Raw genomic sequence first — 15888 nt, 5'->3', positions numbered from 1 at the left:
TTCATGGGTGATATGGCTTGGCTCTGTGTCCCCACCTAAATCTCATCTCAAACTCTAATCCCCATAATCCCCACATGTCGAGGGCGGGACCTGGTGGGAGGTGATTGAATCATGGAGGCCGTTTCCCCTGTGCTGTTCTCGGGATAGTGATCTGATGGTTTTATAATGGGCTTTTCTCCCTTTGCTCCTTCACTCTCTCTCCCCTGCCACCATGTAAGACGTTCTTTGCTTCTTTCTGGCCTTCTGTCATGATTGTAAGTTTCCTGAGGCCTCCCTAGTCATGTGGAACTGTGAATCAAATAAACTTCTTTCCTTTATAAATGACCCAGTCTCATGTATGTCTTTATAGCAGTGTGAGAACGGACTAATACAGTGGGCATTTTTGTTTCCTCTGAATCTGTCCCTGTTTACTGGGTATCATCATCTCCATTGAGCACTCCCAAAGGAAATAATGGTGCCTACCAGGCGTTGCTTGTTTTGTATGCTTAGTATTTCCAATTACATTGGTGCTCTTTGATATGCATTAGGGGGCACATTAAACAACAGAGCCTGAAGTACAAGAAGAGAAATGTTTTCAGATAAGACTAACATTTTATGTGAACTCTCTTATTAACAAGGATCTTATTCAAGTAAACCTAGTGTATAGAATGCATTCTTTTGGAATAGGAAAACAGATCTTGTAGGATTACAGTTCTCACAAATTATTCAGACAAACTTCACAGCAACTGGAACAGGACGCAGATCAATCCTGCGGAGATTGGAGTATTCAGTCTTGCTCTTGCATCTGCTTCTTCCTGTATTAGTTCATTTTATAACTCCTTACTATGTATCTTATATTTATGTTTTCTTTACTCACATAAAGCAAGAAGAAGTTTCTGCTTCTTTCTTGCTTCTCTCTTTGTAACCAATTTAAGTATTTTCACAGTTTAGCTTGCTGCAACTCCTTTCCTTGATTAACCCATTTATGCCAGAGTTTGCAATTTTTGTATGTATGTATGCAATTTTGACGATGACCTTGAGCAGTAGGACATAAATAACTCCCACAAACTTAGTGTTCCAATAATGGAAACTAGGCATAAATGGGTTTAATAGTTTTCCATTCATATTCTTTGTTTATTATTATTATACTTTAAGTTCTAGGGTACATGTGCACAACGTGCAGGTTTGTTACATAGGTATACATGTGCCATGTTGGTTTGCTGCACCCATCAACTCGACATTTATATTAGGTATTTCTCCTAATGCTATCCCTCCCCCAGCCCCCCACCCCCCGACAGGCCCCAGTGTGTCATGTTCCCCGCCCTGTGTCCAAGTGTTCTCATTGTTCAATTCCCACCTATGAGTGAGAACATGCAGTGTTTCATTTTCTGTCCTTGTGATAGTTTGCTGAGAATGATGGTTTCCAGTTTCATCCATGTCCCTGCAAAGGACATGAACTCATCATTTTTTATGGCTACGTAGTATTCCATGGTGTATATGTGCCACATTGTCTTAATCCAGCCTATCATTGATGGACATTTGGGTTGGTTCCAAGTCTTTGCTATTGTGAATAGAGCCGCAATAAACATACGTGTGCATGTGTCTTTATAGCAGCATGATTTATAGTCCTTTGGCTATATACCCAGTAATGGGATGGCTGGCTCAAATGGTATTTCTAGTTCTAGATCCCTGAGGAATTGCCACACTGACTTCCACAATGGTTGAACTAGTTTACAGTCCCACCAACAGTGTAAAAGTGTTCCTATTTCTCCACATCCTCTCCAGCACCTGTTGTTTCCTGACTTTTTAATGATTGCCATTCTAACTGGTGTGAGATGGTATCTCATTGTGGTTTTGGTTTGCATTTCTCTGATGGCCAGTGATGGTGAGCATTTTTTCATGTGTTTTTTGGCTGCATAAATGTCTTCTTTTGAGAAGTGTCTGTTCATGTCCTTTGCCCACTTTTTGATGGAGTTGTTTGTTTTTTTCTTGTAAATTTGTTTAAGTTCTTTGTAGATTCTGGATATTAGCCCCTTGTCAGATGGGTAGATTGCAAAAATTTTCTCCCATTCTGTAGGTTGCCTGTTCACTCTGATGAAACCAAACCTTACTGGAAGCAATAGCAAGTCTCAAGAAGCCCACTGTCAGGCTGATTTAATTGCCATCATCTCTCTGTTCCTAGGATGCTTCACTCTCATGTCTATTATCATCTAGTTAGTTATATAATTATCTTTCTTGTTCTATCAATTGAGTGGAAAAGGGACATTTTTCACCACTGATTTCTAAGATCAATCACTCGGCTTGGGGCACAGTGGTGACAACTAAATTATTCTGAATAAATAATTGAATAAATCCAAGAATGCATGCATGCATGAGTGTGCTGACACCATACTTGTTCTCATAAATGACAGAAAAATAGGAAAGAAAACGTGATATGAATTGGAAAAGCTCGCAAAGAATGTAACGTCCTCTGATAATTTCATGGGGCAGTAAAATAAATTTTAAAAAGTTCAGAATGTAGAGATGATTTTTCATTATCTTCTCCTGAGAAGTAAGATAAGTAAAATGTCCTTCATTCCTCATTCCTAACCTAAATTAGGAGGTTAAATTTTTGTATCTTCTGCGATTCTGAGAATCCCTGGGCCCCAGCGTGCATATGCTACAGCTTAGCAATAGGACGTGGAGCTGTTTTCTTGGGAGAGAAGGAAGATGGGCTACAGGCATCCTGGAGAGGCTGGTACGCTCATCTTACTCCTCTGCCCTATGGCCGTTTTCGTCGATTCCCAGCCAGGTTGTTGCAAAGGACTTTGTATCCAGACCCATACTGTATGAGAAAGGAGGGCACATTGCTCACCTAGAATGCATTTATTATTATAATTATGATTTTTCTAAATTTATAGAGACACACCATCTTAATATTTATTAAAATGGGAAGTCTCAGACAAGGATACAAAATAATAACCAACCTAATGTATCTTAATAAATGTTGTAACTGTTTTTCAGAAATATAATTATTAAATGCATCTAACTCATCTGGATAAAAAGCTTTTAGAGGTATAGAACTTACCTTCCTGGTTCTAACTTACTTCTTCTGTTTAACTGTTTTTGCTAAATATGTCTCTACTTACAGCCTGCCAAATAGAAACTGTCCTTGGTCTTCTTATCTTCATTACATGATAAACTAACCCTAAGTCATCTTTCTGCAACATGTTTTTTTGTAATCTTTACAGTAACTTTTGGCATGGTAAATTAGACCGTGTTTTCATTGTTATAAGAAAAACCGAGTTAATTTTACAGACACAAATATGGAAAACTTTATAGATAAACAGTTCAGAGAATGAGCTATTTCTGTTTGGGCTACTGAAAAATGACACTTAAGGAAAATACCATTCAGATAAAGAATAAATGCTCATTTCAAAATTTGTCTTAGATTTGAGGCATGCTATTCCTGTGTACTGAGAAGCTTCTGTTAGTTAAAACAGTGAAACTTGTTTTCCATTTCCAATAGCTAGTTATTTCTTATGGTCTAAAGTTGAATTTTTTTCAGGTTATAATTTTTATTTATGAAGTTGTCAGAGGTGTTAATAAGGAGCCATTAATAAAATTCCTGTCTGAAATTGAAGACTTAGCAGACTAATGGTTGAGTAGCAGCAAACACATTCAACTGGACTAAGTTAAAAAATATGCTAAAGTTCCTTCCCTCAATTAGGGATACAGAACACCCAAGGCTTAAAGTGGGATTACAAAATGTATACTTCTATGCCAAGACCAACTCTAATGCAGGATCCAGATTTTTGCTAAAGTATGTCTTGTTGTGGAAAAGGAACATGCACAGGCTTCACTACAACTTACTCAAAGGTTAATGTTTCTTTTTGCTGTTGTTATATTGGTAGTATAAATTTGCTTGATTTCCCCCATATGTGTGTGTGTGTGTATATATATATATATATATATATATATATATATATATGGGGAAATTAAAACACATATATGTATAGATGTGTCTCAATTTCAACCAGAAGCTGTATGAATGTGTGTTTGTATTTTTCTGGGCTGTAAAGGAGTAAGAGTATATATGTTTATGAGTCTCATGAATTATAGTAGTTTTAAATAAATTGTTTACATTATGGAAAATGAGTATTTGGGCAACATCCAGCTGTGAGCAGTTTCTACAATCACAGCTTAGTGACCACACTACGTGGCTGATAGAAGGGACATGTTGGCATCGCCATAGCCATTGTGGTCCAATGCATCAGCAAACTTCTGCACAGGTGTCCACCCTTCCCCTGCTGTGCATGCTGCGCTGATTGCCTAGGCAGTAGTCAGAACCCGAGTCTTGACTCTGGTTTCCATGGCTCTTCATACTGGATGCACTCTCCCCAGCAATTAGCCTGTGTTTGGTTCTCTTTCCACACTTTTGACTTCTATCAAATCAGATTATTCCTGACCAACTACTACTTTGCCAATGCCAAGAAATAGATAAGGTACTAACTCTAATAGGTTTTACAGCTGTTAATTCTATTGGACTACATGTATATGACTCGGGCATTCAACCTTCTGGAACGTACATCAAAATCTACAGATAAATAATTTTAGGGGATTTTTAAAAACAAGTATAACGCATTCTTGACTGTGCTAGGGAACCAAATCAATTGAGGAATGAGTGAAAAGGAGAGGGAGGGTGACGAGGAAATCAGATGTAAATGGAAAAAATGAGAAGGCGACTAGAACAGGTGTCAGAGAAAATTACATTTAGCCAAATTATGTCAAGAATTTGGCAGAAGGACAAGAGGAACAAAACCCTGGCTATTAGTCATTTGTTTTTGGTAGCAATAGAAACAGGACTAGTGTTACACCAAGAGTCAGTGTCTTAAACCAACTAAAAGAAATGACATAAGCTATTTATGTGAAATTAATGAGCAATATTTGTACCCAAATAAAAGAAAAATGAAATAAAACAATCCCCTCAACAATACTGAGATACAGTACAAGGGTTTCCTATGAATACTTGTCATACTACTTACATCGATAAATTGCAAATGGAATTTAATATAATGAACATGTTCAATTAGTGAAAGTAAATGACCTAGCACCCAGGGTTTTCTTAATTAGAAGGTTTTTATGCATCGTAATGCTTTAAATTATCTTTGGTACAATTTGGAAACCTTAAAACCAGATTGCAGTTTTGTGAACACTTTGGCAGAAAAAAAATGATTTTGTCATTGGATTTTTTTTTTTTTTTTTTTTTGAGACAGAGTCTTGCTCTGTTGCCCAGGCTGGAGTGCATGGCATGATCTCTGCTCACTGCAAGCTCCAACTCCTGGGTTCACACCATTCTCCTGCCTCAGCCTCCTGAGTAGCTGGGACTACAGACACCCGCCACCATGCCTGGCTATTCTTTTTTTTTTTTTTTTTTTTTTTAGTAGAGATGGGGTTTCACCGTGTTAGCCAGGATGGTCTTGATCTCCTGACCTCGTGATCCACACGTCTCAGCCTCCCAAAGTGCTGGGATTACAGGCGTGAACCACTGCACCCAGCCTTTAAAGGAGCATGTGGACTGAAGCCTGTGCAAGACAAACATAAAATGTTGCAGCATCTGTTTCTTTCTGTGCTTAAATCAGAGACATCTACTCTTGTCATTTCAGGATAGTGACCTCAAGTCATTTTACTTATGTCACTGAAAATGACCCTGATAGAGAATCTTGCACACTTCCACCAAGTGTTTTTCTTTTCAATTGCATGAAATGTATTTTTTAAATTTACATTTTGAATCAAAGGAAATACAGAAAGTCAATAAAATGCAGTCAAATCAATAGCAATATATATTTTTATTGTACAATAATCTGTATTTATTCCTTCACTCATTTTCCAACCTGGTTATTCCAATTCATAGTGGCGAGGGGTCAGAGCTTCGTCCCTGCAGCTTAGGGCAGAAGCTGGGAAACAGCCTTGGATAGGATGCCATTCCCTCCCAGGGCACACTCACACACACGTCATCACTCATTCAGACTGGGACCATGTAGACATGTCAATTCACCTAACATGCACATGTTTGGGAAGGGAAAGGAAGTCAGAGAGGACCTATGCAGACACAAAGAGAATGTGCAAACTCCACACAGACAGAGGCCCAAGCTGGGAATTGACTTGTTTTTTCTCCTCTAATATGAGAATTGGACAATCTTTCTATTATTTTAGTGGTTACAACAGAAACTTTTAACACTCATATTAAAAGTAATTATGTCAAAATCAAATCAATACTTTTGCATTACACCAGAGGTAAAACCATAGAGTGTTTTAACATGTATCTATTCTTCCTTTTCCCCTTGGTATTTAATATCAAGATTTCTGTCTAATGATAAAACAAGAATGTTTTAAACATTAAATATTTGTTTACATTATATGACATTATTTTGCGATTCTTATCATTCAGTATTCCTTCTATTTTAGAAATTCTTTATTGGATAATGTTGGTTATCTTTGGGTTCTGTTCTTATGTGTATACATATACATATTTGCTAGTTTATTCTTTCCTTCTTTTTGTCTTTTTTTAATTTCAATTTGAGAGCAGGTGCTGTTTATTAACTGGCCAGCTTAGAAAAATAATCATGGTAGACACTTAATTCAGTCTCCTAAGAAGCCTGTTGATCTGCTCCTCCCTGTTGCCAGCAGTTCCACCTTCTATGAAATGGGTGATCTTTTTCTTCATTCTGCCTAGTGAGGAAGATAATCTGAAAGGTCACAGGAAGTTATTTGCTTCTTTGAAGCGTTTTCCAACAGTATAGATCTCATGAATCAGATCCTCCATGCAGATGATGCCATATTTACCAAGAGATCGAGCAATCTAAGTGTTATCTGTCAGTGCAATTCGCTTCTCATTGATTTTGCCATAACCATGCTTCTAGATTAGTTCCTTTATTGACTTCAGATTTGGGTACCTACATGCAATATACGTTTCTACAATTCTCAGTATGTTCATTAAAGCCTTGTTGAGCTTCACAAAGGTTCCACTGAAGACCTGACAAAGGCAAAGAAGCTGCAACACCTTTCAGACCTTGGGGCTCACACCACTGATAGCACTGATCCTGATGACAAACGCCAATTTGGGTTTTGGATGTACGAAGAAGTTGCCAGCTTTTCTTGCCATCGTCGCCATTTGAATTTCAGTTCTGTACATCTGCCTATATTCCTTGTGACAGTGTTTCACTTTTTCATAGATGAGCTTCCTCCTTGCCTTTTGAAGCATCTTATGGGCAAACTTCTTTCTCAGGCACTTATCTTCAGCTCTGCAAAATTCCTTTACTTTCTCTAAAGGGTTTCTGGTACAGCAGGCAACTTCCTCTTCTTTTCAACACCCTCCACGATTCCAGTTGGAAAAGAGCGTCTTCATTTTTTTATGTTTGCTTTTTTTTCTTGAAAGATCATCGTACTGGTATTTAATTCCAGCTTAAGGCCGTAATTGGGGTATCTGTCTCATAATGACTGTAGCTCCCATCTGATTTCGTTTGTCTGCCCCCCCATGCCTGCCCCAATGCTGGCATCTGACAATAGCAGATAAGTCAAGGCAGGCTGCAACAAGAAACATGGAGAAAGCCAGCACCTCCTCTTCTTCTCCAAAGCCTGTCATGAGTCAGAACAGAACCTGAGAAGTAGATGTGTCGAGGTTTGACCAACGATTCTACATTAGAACAAACAGGATTCTGAATGCCTGCACATTAGAATGAGTGTTAATTGTTCTGAGTAACTAGAAAAGTTATGGAATCTATTTGAGATATTATTTAGATCATAAACCGTATCTATTTATGATCCATTCATTTTGTTGTTGTTCTATCTAACCTGCTGCAGATAGGGCAATGAATGAAAAGACCGAATTTCTGCCATGATGGAATTAACATCAGAGTGGAAGATAAAATCAATAAACTAGATCTACATTATAAGATCCCATGTAGATAAATGATAGGAAGAACAATGAAACAGAATATGGAGATAAAAACGTGGGATGCAAAGTCAGTTTAGACAAGGTTGTCCTGAAGATCTCACTGTTGTGGCAAACCAGGAGCAGATACCTCAGAGAGGGGAGAAATTCAGCCATGAGGTGGCTGGAGGAAGAGCATGCTGTGTACGGGAAATGGCAGGTACAGAGATGTAAATCATAAATCGCTGACTTTTGAAGTGGATGTATGATTGACAGTTCTACATTAGACCAAACAGGATTCTTAATGCCCAGACATTAGAATGAGTTTTAATAGTTCAGAGTAACTAGATAAGTTGTGGAATCTATTTGAGATATTATTTAAATTATCAGAGAGGAATTCTGGTATAGACGTGTTGGGAGTCAGTATGAGACATATCTTTTTTCATTCCTTGTCCATCAGTAACTCTATTTGGATACAGTTGTTTAAATAATATTTTCATCTGTCTCTTATACTTGTGGGTGGTCAAATGGTTTTGATCCTGACAAAATTTGCCCCAAATCTTGCTTTAAATTTTGAATAAATTTACTGATGGTTGTCAAGAGTGAGGTACATCAAATTTTCCTGTTAAATGTAGCCAATGACTTAGCCAAATTAGAATTTAAATGCATTTGGCAACACATGTTTACCATTAATTTTCTTATTTTTCCTGTGAATATATCAATTTTTCATGGCTCTATGCTCAGGAATTTGTTACAGAAGCGATGAGGCTTTACAAATTTCTAAAGTGAGCTAGAGATACTTAACTATTTTTCTTACTACAGGCTTACATTAGTTAAAGAAATGATCAGTCAGAAGACCATAGTGATGGTAAAACTAATTATATTAGAACTTCAAATGATTTATTTAGGCAGGTTAAGGTGGCAGGTTATAAAAAAAAAAAAGAGTGTGAAAAATCCCCATCTTTCATAGCTTTAAAAAGTTGGGTCTGCTGTGTGCTGTAGTTAAATCAACAGTCTTCTGGTCGGCAGACATGCAGACAACTGTTCCCTCACCGCCACCAGTAAATTCACAGGTCTGCACCATTCCCAAGGGTTGCTGTGCACAGCCTTTTCTAAGGTATGGTTTATACCTGAAAAAGTCGAGATGGACAGGAAAGTCCCATAGATGACAGTAGGCCAGACATTTATCTAGACAGTCCATAGAGAACCCAGTATGTAAAATATTATTTACAGCTTAGTTGTCAAAAATCCTTAAGAGTGGAACTCACTTTCCCCCAATATAACTTATACAGTTTCCTGTAAGTAGAAAAATGTCCATAGCATTTGACATTTTTAGCAATTTTTCCCAATAACATTATGTTACCAGTTTCTCGTTTTTTCTTAAGTCAAAGAGCTTAAAACAACTTCAGGTGCTGCTATTTTCTTTACATTTTAGGGAAAGAATGATAACTTTTTTTTTTTTACTCTTCTTAATTTTTCTTTAGAAAGTTTCAGATTATTAGTAACCACATTAAATTGCAGAAAATATGCAATGATAATGACACATAAAGTTTATAAAAAACAGACACATGTAGAAATGCAAAATCTGAAATTTTACCTGTGCAAAGAAGGAATTTATTAGAGTGAGTAAAAGCTAACATTTTCGTATTTTGTTTAAGACACTGTTCTAAGCACATTATATCAACCTTTTGAATCTTACCAGTGATGCTATAATGTAGGCATTATTTTCTATTTAATAGGTGACTAAATGAAAGAAAAGACAAATAAATTGATAGTTGGTGAATGGCAGAGCTGGGATTTGAACCCAGTGGGACTTAGGGCTTACACTTATAAACCATATATTAAACTTCATTGAGAAGGGAGGGGACGGGGGTTGAAAAGTTGGTTGTGTGATGTTGGTGGCTTTGTTTGTAGTTATGGTTGTGATGATAGTGGTATTAAACAAACAAAAATTCCTTTCTGAATTAGGAGATAAGCTAATTATATTTCATGTAGTATATGTTTATCTTCGTACTTTATGAGCTAAAGAACATTACTATCTATATTTTTCAGGCAAGGAAACTAACTCTGAGAGTGGTTAGGTAACTTGCCTATAGTCACAAAGGCAATGCATTACAAAGGTAGGATTCCCCTCAGGAGGTCTGACAATAATGACAACTTGCTCATCTCTGCTTTTCTGAAGGCATATGATGACATCAACATAATGCTTATTGGCCCATAAACACTAAGCTAGTTAATTATTTTACTGAAGATCACCATAACCTAAGGTACCATGCCAATTTAGGTCAATTTCCATTTCTGACTTCCGCTGAAATATCCATAGAGCTCAGATGAGGCTACTCGTCCAATTAAAATTTTATTTTAAATATAACCACTGCATTCACAACTAATCAGATTAGCTTATAAAATTATAGATGTGTATTGATAAACTATGCACACCAAACATTGTTTCTAATTTCTGTGGGATACTTCTAAATTGTTTTAGTACAGTGAAGGTCCCATTTACCATGCCAAAAGTTACTGTAAGGATTACAAAAAATATGTTGCAGAAAGATGAGTTGGAGTTAGTTGATCATATAATGAAGACAAGAAGCCCAAGGATACTTTCTATTTGGCAGGCTAGAAGTAGGGATATACTTAGTAAGAACAGTTAAACAGAAGAAGTGAGTTTGGCTGGCAATGGGACAATCTATGAAAATGGGAGGTGAAGAGATTGGAAATAGGGCAGCTTGCCCTTAGGTCTTCTCAGTACATCTGTGTGCACCATACATACTGGTTGGGAGAATTTGAGTTAGCAAAGATTATAAGCATCAACAACATTGAAAAAGCAACAAACACAGTTAAATAATTTTAATCACATATAATCATAGTATTTTTAACATAACTACCCTAATTTTGTACCTTATCCTAATACATATATATTTTACTTACCATTTGATCATCTTTTCACTTAATATTACACAGTTTTCTATATAATTCCATGTCCTTTAATTCTCCTATAATTGCCATGTAATTTCTACTTATGCTTCTCTGCCACAAATTTGCATGACTATTTCTGCTTTTTGACATTCGTGTTGTCTCTGAAGTTGTTCCATGGGAAGTTATAGTTGGAAGCATAATGCCTTACCACATGCAATTCCTGGGAAAGTAAGATCATATCTTTTCTAACTGAAAAACTTACAATTGTTTCCTGCTGCTTTTAGAAGAAAACTCAACGTTCTCTCCCTGGCCCCAGCCCCTAAGTGATGTGGGTTCTGACTCTACCTCCAATGCACTTCCCTTTTGCTTATTGTGCCTCAGTCACAGAGGCTCCTTGTTATTCTTCAACCGCATCAAGCACCCTGCCTCTGCACCTGCCATTTCCTGTGCCCAGCATGCTCTTCCTCCAGCCATCTAGCGGCTGAACTTCTCCCCTCACCGAGGTCTCTGCTCCTGGTTCGCCATAACAGTGAGAACTTCAGGACCACTTTGTCTAAACTGACTTTGCATCCCATATTTTCAATCTCCATATTGTGCTTCATTATTCTTCCTATCATTTATCTATATGGGATATTATAATGCCGATCTAAGTTTATTGATTTTATCTTCCACTCCAATGTTAATTCAATCATGGCAGAAATTCGGTCTTTTTATTGATTGCCCTATCTGCAGCAGGTTAGATAGAACAACAAAACAAATGGATCATAGAATAATCTAATAGTTATTAACAGTTTCCCAATATCCCTGTGGGAAATTTCCTTTCGGTCACTATAGGAAGTATTCTAGGACAATTTCTAGAAGATTCTAGGAGTTGAAAGGACCAAGTGTAAGAGCCTTGTTCTTTCAACTCTGAGACCTTATTAATCACTATGTCTTTGGGCTTTGGACTTTAAGCTAGTTATGCAAAGTCAGGAATGACAGTGAGATATGCATAATTCATTGAGGATTTGGTGTCACATGGGAAAGGACCTTTCCTGCTCCACGACAGTCATTGGGATTGTTCTTACCTCGACTTCGGAGTTAACTTGGTTATGATCATTTCCCAAGACTGGTCACATGTCTTCTGTAAGTGCTGTGAGTAACCTTATTTTTATTTAAAATAGGCAGCTGTGGTTTCTGGTGCCCTGAGAGTGCTAGAGATTTCAACATCTGCCTTCATCTGCTGGCTGCTGGCTAGCCTCTCCTTAGCCTCAGCCTGGGAAATTCCAGTTGCCAAATACCTGCTGCTTTGTCCTCTCTGGCACCATCATATCCAGTGAGGCTCTCAATGTCCGTAGTAAGACTAAGGTATCCCACTAGATTTAGTGTTAATAGCAACACAGTTACATCAATAGAGGTAAAGGTTCTACTGGCTTGGAGTGAATACCTCCTAATGGGCTTTATAAGTTGAAAGACTTTCAGCTTAGCAGTTTAAATGTGTAATTATTTTTGCAAGTTTAAAATGTTGCAGCAATTAGTGCTTATTGTGAAAGCTGTTAATTTTATACACACAAACAAATTTTAAGGATTTCAACTAATTAAATAAATAGGTAAAGATTGGCAGGTAATATGAAAGTTGCGAAGATATGTTAGAAAGATAAGTTTAGGAATTTTTGAGGCAAGAGGTGTTTGCAAAAAAATTAAATTACAATACAAAGTAGTTTGATAGACCTTAGTTTCTATCATAATTTTTATTATTGTAAAATTATTTGGGGTAGTAACATTTATAATATTACATTGAAAAATTTTAAGAACCGCATTGAATTTTTATTTATTAAATTCCACTTAGCGTACGAGTCATGAAAAAACAACTTTTGTGTAATTTTCACGTTGTGGGTTAGTCAATAAACTGTATTTGATATCTGAAAATTTATAACAATGAAAAACTGCAAAATAAAATAATAAAATCCATAATAAATTATCTTTAGTCTGTGTATTAAAAAATCTGTAGAAAAAGTATCAGCTCACCCAACCAGCCCTAATTTTCCTTTACCATTGACCTTGACTAAAAGCGAATATCAACATTAATGAAAAAAATTTAATATATTGAATTCAAGAAGAAATTAATGGCCAACGGTGTTGATTATTCAAGAAGTTTCTAAACATTTTAGAAGTGAAGTTATAATAATAAAATTGTGTTACTATTAAATTTTCTTGATAAGATTTTAGATTCATTGTTGGATCTAAAGAATGTTTGATTAAGATGATTTCATATCTGAACCAGTATAATTTCAACACAAAATTTGTTATTTAGCCAAAATTTGTATGAGGAACACTTCATCCTTCAGCCTAGATATATGGCTATCTTCAGTCAAAGATATTGCTTGATATCACATTTACCGACTATTCTCTAACTTTTCTTTTTGACTGATTTCTACAAAATAATGTATGAATATTTCTTAAATATGATATAACTGAGTCATTGTTATTATGGATATTTTTGTGGTTATTGATATATACTGCAACACTGTTTTACAAATAGTGAATTTTTTATGCTATATTACATGTCTAAGTGCATGAGTACACCACCAGCTGCATTTCTGCACCGAAAACCTTCGTTATTTCCTCTGACAATGTATGTGTTTGCCTATTTGTTAACTTAGCAAATTAATTAAAAGTTTCCAAAAGTCATGTTATGTTTCTTTGCTAGCAAGAACAAACATACAATCATATGATATTATACTTGAAAAATTATAAATACATAATTCTAAAAATTAGATTTTTCAACTTGCATGTGTAACTGATATTTTTCTAATTGGCTAAACATATTTAAAATTTAATATTTCTTGAGTTTTTCCTTTACTTGCTGTTTCTTTTGTATTTTTAGTTACTCATCTTTGATTTTGATTCAACTGCTTTTACTGTCTCAAATCTATATTAATTAAAATACTCAGCTATATGTCATATGAATTGTTCTATTGTTTTAAAAAGCAGAATAAATTCCTATCTAAGACACATTTTCCCCAAAGTTATATGATTACTCTTAGACACCTTAAAGCGTCCACAATGTCTGACTGAAGCGCTGATCTGAGACTATGTAACTAGGAAAGCTGTCATTGGTGTTAACCCAACCAGTTATCCATAGATCATCTCAACTTTGAAGTTAATACTAGTTAACCTGATAATATGCCTTATCTTGGTAATCTTGATAAGCCTACGTGTTTCACAAAAACAGCAACAATGGCCCCACAATGGTAGATTATTTTTATGAGTCAGTGTGTCCCTGAAACATCACCTGAGTTTGGCTTCACGGGAATTTCTATGTTTCTGTCATAGGAGAAATCCAAGTGCAACAAGCTAGAATGAGACATGGAAGACTGGGAAATCAATGTTTTAGGAATAACAGAACCATTACATATATTGTTGTAAAAATATAGCCTAGAGCAGGAGTTGGCAAACTTTTTCTATAAAGAACCAGATAACAAATCACAAATTGTTTAGGCTTTGTGTGCCAAGAGGAAACTATAATTAGTTCTGTAGACAATTCTATTATATAACAAAACAGAAAGCAATTTTGCACATATATTTAATAAAATTGAAAATATAATAATAATCAAGCATTTTTTGAAATAGTATGGGTTTTGTATTAGTTTTCTATTGCTGCTGTAAGAAGTTACCTTGAATTAATGCCTTACCACAATACCTGTTTAATTTTTTACCATCATGTAGGTCCAGAGGGTACCATGTTTCTCAGCTGTTTCTTTGCACTAGGTTTTACAAGGCAGACATCAAGACCTCAAGGGGTCAGCATGGCTGTGTTCTCTTCCTGAACCTCTAGTGGGGAATTTGCTTTCATGTCATCATGGTTTTTGACAGGATTTACTTCATTGCGATTGTAGGACTGAAGTCCCCATTCTCCTGCCAGCTGCAGGCCAGCCTGGGGTCATTTTAGCTTTTAGAGACTCACAAGCCTCTTCCTCCATCCTTAAAGTCAGCAATGGAAGCTGAGTCCCTCTCGTGCTTTCAAATCTCTCTTTCCTCCCCTTCTGCTCATTTCCCATCTCCTCTTCCGTGACTGTGTATAAATGACCCCTCTGCTTTGAAAAGCTCTCATGATGACATCTGCACCACTTGAATAACCCAGTGGTAATGTCCCTGTCCTAAGGTCAGCTTAGTATCTTTAATTCTATGTGCAAAGTTCCTTGCTGGTAGTACCTACAACAGTGTTTGATGGAATAACCCAAAACTGGGAATGCCTTTGGAATTCTTACTGTTAATATCACAGGTCTACCAATGAAAAGAATGGAGTGTTTTTGTTGTTGTTGTTGTTTGTTTGTTTGTTTGTTTTTTGTGGGATAGCATTTTCTTCAATTAAGGTCCAAATGTAGTGTTCCTCCTCATCAGATCAATTGCAAATATTCATCTCTAAGAATCACTCTTACTCTATAGGCCTTACTAAAACAGGTGGCAGGCTGGGTAGGCTCATGGGCTTTAGTTTATGAACCCATGATCTGGGATATTGTGTAGCTATTGAAAGTCTTGTTGCTGAGTATTTAAACATATTCTGAAATGTCTAAACTATGTAGATAAACTAAAATAGATGATAAAACAAGGCTGGGCATGATGGCTCACGCCTGTAATCCTAGCACTTTGGGAGGCCAAGGCAGGCAGATCACTTGAGGTCAGGAGTTTTGAGACCAGCCTGGCCAACATTGCAAAACCCTGTCTCTACTAAAAATACAAAAGTTAGCTGGGCGTGGTGGCAGGCTCCTGTAGTCCCAGCTACATAGGAGGCTAAAGCAGGAAAATCGCTTGAATCTGGGAGGCAGAGGTTGTAGTGAACTGAGATTGCATCATTGCACCCCAGACTGCCTGGATGACAGAGAGAGACTCCATTAAAAAAAAAAAAAAAAAAAAAAAAAAAAAAAAACCAGATAAAACGGTATGCACTATTTTTCCAATTTTATGAAAGAAAAATATTTATAATATAATATAAATAACAGATTAGTATGTTTCTATTTATATAAACTGGAAGATATACAATGCACTGATAACAATAGTCATCAATGGAGGTAGAATAACAGGTGAAGTTGATGCAT

The 15888-nt window shown here is 36.4% G+C and overlaps 1 long non-coding RNA gene and 1 pseudogene across 4 annotated transcripts in view; one reads left to right on the top strand and one right to left on the bottom strand.

The window, feature by feature from the left end:
- LOC107984606 (uncharacterized) overlaps window positions 1-15888 on the top strand; it is an 84462-nt gene that overhangs the window by 16322 nt on the left and 52252 nt on the right. The gene's annotated exons all lie outside the window — the stretch shown is intronic.
- RPL7P45 (ribosomal protein L7 pseudogene 45) lies at window positions 6530-7354 on the bottom strand (annotated as a pseudogene).

The sequence above is a fragment of the Homo sapiens genome, chromosome 13 (assembly GCF_000001405.40).
Source record: "Homo sapiens chromosome 13, GRCh38.p14 Primary Assembly".
Classification (NCBI taxonomy): domain Eukaryota; kingdom Metazoa; phylum Chordata; class Mammalia; order Primates; family Hominidae; genus Homo; species Homo sapiens.
This window is presented reverse-complemented; position numbering and strand designations above follow the sequence as displayed.